The sequence below is a fragment of the Homo sapiens genome, chromosome X (genome assembly GCF_000001405.40).
Source record: "Homo sapiens chromosome X, GRCh38.p14 Primary Assembly".
NCBI lineage: Eukaryota > Metazoa > Chordata > Mammalia > Primates > Hominidae > Homo > Homo sapiens.
Genome location: NC_000023.11, coordinates 122,108,495 through 122,114,258, shown reverse-complemented (window position 1 = coordinate 122,114,258; position 5,764 = coordinate 122,108,495). Strand labels below are relative to the sequence as shown.

The following is a 5,764-nucleotide window of genomic DNA, read 5'->3' as shown; positions in this document are numbered from 1 at the left end:
TGTCTCACAGGGGTCCTTGGGGATGGCTGCCAGAGGAACTGGGAAAAGACCACAGGGAGAAGGAAACCTCAAGCTGACCTTTATAACAATTCCTACTGAATACAAAATTTCCTGGCCAGAACTCAGGGGAGAGCGTGAATCTGGTGTTCAGACTCAACAGGTGGGAAGGCACAAATGCCCTGTTTACTTTCTCAGCCAGGAGGCTGATAGCATGGGGCTAGTTCTCAGCCCTGCTTGCCCACTGCCTGCAAACAAACTCGGTGTTTTTGTTTTTTGTTTTTGTTTTTTTTTGCGGGGGTCGGGGAGCCATTGTGGGAGTGGAACTGGCCTTTTGGGTTGCATGGGAGCTGGGTGAAGCCTGTAACTGCTGGCTTTCCCCCACTTCCCTGACAATCTGCATGAAACAGCAGAGGCAGCCATAATGCTCCTGGGAACATAACTCCATTGACCTGTGAACCACACCCCCATCCCCCACAGCAGCTGCAGCTGCAGCAAGCCCCACTCAAGGAAAGTCTGAGCTCACACATGTCTAACCCTGCCCCCACCTGATGGTCCTTCCCTACATACCCTGGTAGCTGAAGACAAGGTAATATTCTTTTGGGAGTTCTAGGGTCCTACCCACTGCCTGATCCTCCCCTGTACTACCACAGCTGAAGCTCTCTTGAAAGAGCCACCTGCTGGCAGAAGGCCAACCAGCACAAAACTAGCGCATTAAACAGCTACATCTAAGGACTCTCACATAGTCCATTTCACTCCCCTGCCACCTCCACTGGAGCAGGTGCTGGGACTGATGGCTGAGAGACCCGAAGATGGTTCACATCACAGGACTCTGTGCAGACAACCCTCAGTACGAGCATGGAGCCTGGCAGCCCTGCTGGGTGGCTAGATCCAAAAGAAAAATGACAGTCACCAGAGTTTGGTTCTCAGGAAGCCAGATGCCTAGGAAAAAAGAGGAGAGTACTACATCAAGGAAGCAACCTGTGGGATGAAAGAATCTGAACAGTAGCCTTGAGCCCCAGATCTTCCCTCTGACATAGGCTACCCAAATGAGAAGAAACCAGAAAAACAATTCGGGTAATATGGCAAAACAAGGTTCTTTAACACACTCAAAAAAAAAAAAAATCACACTAACTCACCTGCAATGGATCCAAACCAAGAAGAAATTACTGAATTGTCAGAAAAAGAATTCAGAAGGTTGATTATTAGGCAAATCAAGGAGACACCAGAGAAAGGTGAAGTCCAACTTAAGGAAATAAAAAAAAAATGATACAAGAAATGAGGGGAGGAATCTTCAATGACATAGATAGCCTAAATAAAAAAAAATCACAACTTCGGGAAATAAAGGACACACTTAGAGAAATGCAAAATGTCCTGGAAAGTCTCAGCAATAGAATTGAACAAGCAGAAGAAGCAACTTCAGAGCTTGAAGACAAGGTTTTTGAAACAACCCAAACCAACAGAGACAAAGAAAAAAGAATTTCAAAAAATGAACAAAGCCTCCAAGAAGTTTGGAATTATGTTAAATGGCCTGATTTAACATAAGAATAATTGGCATTGATGAAGATAAATACATTCCTGCAGAAGATAAATCTAAATGTTTGGAAAACATTTTCAGGAGAAGAGTCAAAGAAAACTTCCCTGGCCTTGCTAGAGATCTAGACATCCAAATACAAGAAGCTTAAAGAACACCTTGGAAAATCATTCCAAAAAGATCATCACCTAGTCATGTAGTCATCAGATTATCCAAAATCAACATTAAGGAATGAACCTTTAGAGCTGTGGGGCAAAAGCACCAGGAAATCTATAAAGGAAAACCTATCAGATTAACAGCAGATTTCTCAGCAGAAATCCTACAAGCTAGAAGGGATTTGGATCCTATCTTTAGCCTCCTTAAAGAAAACAATTTTCAGCCAAGAATTTGGTATCCAGCAAAACTAAGCTTCATAAATAAAGAAAAGATAGTTTTGTTGTTGTTGTTGTTGTTGTTGTTGTTGTTTTCAGAAAAACAAATGCTGACAGAATTTGCCACTACCAAGCCAGCACTACAAGCACTGCTAAAAGGAGCTTTAAATCTTGAAACAAATCCCGGTAACAAATCAAAACAGAACCTCTTTAAAGCATGAATCCCACAGGACCTATAAAACCAAAATATAATAAATAAATTTAAAAAAACAAGGTATTCAGACAACACATAGCATGATGAATGGCATAGTACCTCACATCTCAATACTGACATTGAATGTAAATAGTCTAAATGCTCCACTTAAAAGATACAAATTGCAGAATGGATAATAATTCACAAATCAAGTATCTGCTGCCATCAAGAGACTCATCTAACACATAGGGACTCACATAAACTCAAGGCAAAGGGGTAGAAAAAGACATCTTGTGCAAATGGACACCAAAAGAGAGCAGAGGTAGCTATTTTTATATCAGACAAAGCAAACTTTAAAGTAACAGCAGTTTAAAAAGACAAAGAGGGACATTTTATAATGATAAAATGACTAGTCCAACAGGAAAATATCACAATCCTAAATATATATGCACCTGACACTGGCGCTCCCAAATTTATAAAACAATTACTACTAGATCAAAGAAATGAGATAGACAGCAACACAGTAGTAGTGGGGGACTTCAATACTCCACTGACAGCACTAGATAGGTCATCAAGACAGAAAGTCAACAAAGAAACAATGCATTTAAACTATACCCTAGAAAAAATGGACTTAACATATATTTACAGAACTAAACAACTGCATAATGTACATTCTATTCAACAACACCTGGAACTTTCTCCAAGATAGACCATATGATAGGCCGCAAAACAAGTCTCAATAAACTTAAGAAAATTGAAATTATATCAAGTACTCTCTCAGGCTACGGTGGAATAAAATTGGAAATCAACTCTAAAAGAGACCTTCAAAACCATGCAAATACATGGAAATTAACCTGCTTCTGAGTGATTATTGGGTAAACAATGAAATCAAGATGGAAATTAAAAAATTCTCAATGATAATAGTGACACAACCTTGTTATATAAAGTCTAACAACATTGTTTAGAATCTTCTTTGTTGTTTCTTTCCCTAGTTCTTTCTATAACATTTCTAGCTATTCTCTTTTTTCTCAGGAACCCCAATTATTGTCAAAGGGAGAACTAGGGAAAGAAACAACAAAGAAGATACCTTTGTTATAAAGTCTAACAATGTTAGACTGAAAATAATTGGGGTTCCTCAGAAAAAAGAGAATAGCTAGAAATGTTATAGGCAGAACTAGGGAAAGAAACAACAAAGAAGATTCCTTTGTTATAAAATCCAGTACTATGTGCAATTCCAGGTATCTGCTGGAGATCTTGCAATATAATCCCCATGGATAATTAGAGGCTATTGTACTAGTATCTTGGAACTATCAGACTCTGTTAATTGCTTGTCACCATTGTTTTCAATAACACCTTTAAACATAAATTTCTTTAGGTTTTCTTATAAATAATACAATCTCCTCAGACAGGGCTTCAAGCTCCCCTTTTATAAAACCTGCCTGTCCTCCCGGATACAACATTTATATTACTACCCTGGAGCCTGTGGGAGAAATACTAATTTGCTTTTCCCAGAGGGATATTCTTGCTCGATGTGCAGGGGAATGGGAATAGCAGTCCCGAGTGTTCTTGGCTCGCTGCTCCTAGCATGGAACCTCTGGTTTACAAGTGAACTGTGGTGTGGGTGATCAGGGCTCCAGTATTTACAGCCTGACACACTTGAAGCAGGGCCCTTGAATCTTCTTGGTCACACTTTTCCATAATAACACATATGGGGTTGGAAAATTTGATAAGAGATGTTAATAGTCTTCCTGTTCTGGCATGATACAGTAGCTCTAGATTAGGAGTTCTATGGAGAGGAATCCAGTTATTTTTGTCCGCACTTGTCAGGTATAGAGTGCTAGAAGTAGACGTTTCATTATATGGACCTGGTGAGGGCACAAGAGTTGGGAGTAGGTCAAATGTCAAAACAAAACAAACAAATAAAAATCTTGGTAAGACCAGTACTTTTTTTCTTTTTTTTTTTAACAGATTTTCTTGAATAAACCTTTTTGTTTCATTTCCTGTATACCCTTAAGTTATTAAGACAATTTTTAGAGGCTTTAAATATTTCTTCTTTAAGATAATTTTTACCAGTTAAATGGTAGTTTTTTTGGGGAAAATGATACACTGATTTCTCGTCACCACATTTTCAGAAGTACTGCCTGAATGGCCTTAAATTTAACCATTCTGTGCTAAAGATTGTTTAGGAAATTGGAAATGCAAAAATAAATTTTTTTATCTGACACATGAAAAAATGTGACTTCAACAAACTGTAGTACCTCTCCTACTAAGTTCTAAGCTGTTGAATATATAATGAGATGTCTATACGTATGGTCTATGGGAACAAATAAGATGTGATTAAGAAAGGAAAGGGAAAGATCTATGGAAAAGTTATGTCACTCAAGTCTAAAGGATGAATGTGACATTTTCCAGGTTAAGAAAGGGGTTAGAAGGAAATACCGGACAAAGAGTGAAACACAAGTGGAGGCAGATATGTATGAAATAAGATGGGTCAAGAGGAGAACCACAAGCAGTTTACTATTATTGGAACATAAAAAATAAAAATGGAGTAGCAACACTTGCACTAGAGAAGTAGGTGTGGATGGTTGCAAGCCATGATAAGGAGTTGAAATATAATCCAAAAAGTGAAATGAAGTTAAGTGGTTTTAAGCAGGAGATTGGCATAATTGAGATTAGTATTCTAGAAAGATTGTATACATATGTAACAAACCTGCACATTGTGCACATGTACCCTAGAACTTAAAGTATAATAAAAAAAAGAAAAATTGCTGTGGCTGTGCTGTAAATCAAGAGTAAGAATACTATTAATCACAGGCTAAATATGGTTTTTGGGAATAAAGTTTTGTTGGAAAACAGCCATTTTTTTTTTTTTTTTTTACTTATTGGTTATATCTCCTTTCACATTGCCATGGCACAGTTGAGACATTAAAACACAGACTATATGGCTTTCAAAGTCTAGAATATTTACTATTTGGGCTTTAAAGAATAAATACAGACAATTTGGGGAGGGTCAAGGCTTTAGCTAAGTAGTTGTGAAAGAACGCTATTGCGTCCAGGCAAGAAATGATGGAGGGACAGGTTTAGCCTTCATTCTTGATTAAATGTAATAACATCATTAGCCACTAGTGTGTTTTCTTTCTTTTTTTTTTTTTCTGTTCCTCTTTTTTGTATTTTCTTATCACTTGTAGGTTATTTTATTATTATTACTTTTTATTTTTTTATTTTCTCCTTCTTGAATTCTGATGGACCATATTGTTTGCTCACTATTTTTTTATTTGTATTTTAATTTTTTATTTCGATAGGTTTTTGGGAAACAGGTGGTATTGGGTTACATTAGTAAGTTTTTTATTGGTGATTCGTGAGATTTTGAGAACTAAAGACCTATACATCACTTCAATTAAATTTCTATCAACATGAAATTCTGCAATTTTGACAATGAATGTGTAAAGATGCTCAACAGGGAGACCTTGTGTGACAAGGTTGATATGAAGCTACCTTCAGTGGCAATGAGCATTATGAGTATGATGAAGAGCTACAATTCACTAGAAATGCACTGTTTTTTCTTACTGAGAACAAATTTTTTTCAGGGTACCTTATCTTTTTCTTAATGAGGGTTACAGGGCTAATAAAATCTTGTTCATCACATTGGCCTTTGAGTCTACCTTTCTG

General features: G+C 37.4%; 1 annotated feature.

Moving 5' to 3' along the window:
• Positions 350 to 851: an enhancer, noted in NCBI's record as "H3K27ac hESC enhancer chrX:121247261-121247762 (GRCh37/hg19 assembly coordinates)". NCBI's record gives its function as "activates a minimal SCP1, AML or CMV promoter by ChIP-STARR-seq in naive H9 embryonic stem cells {active_cell/tissue: H9 hESC(naive)}" and the evidence as "EXISTENCE:reporter gene assay evidence [ECO:0000049][PMID:30033119]".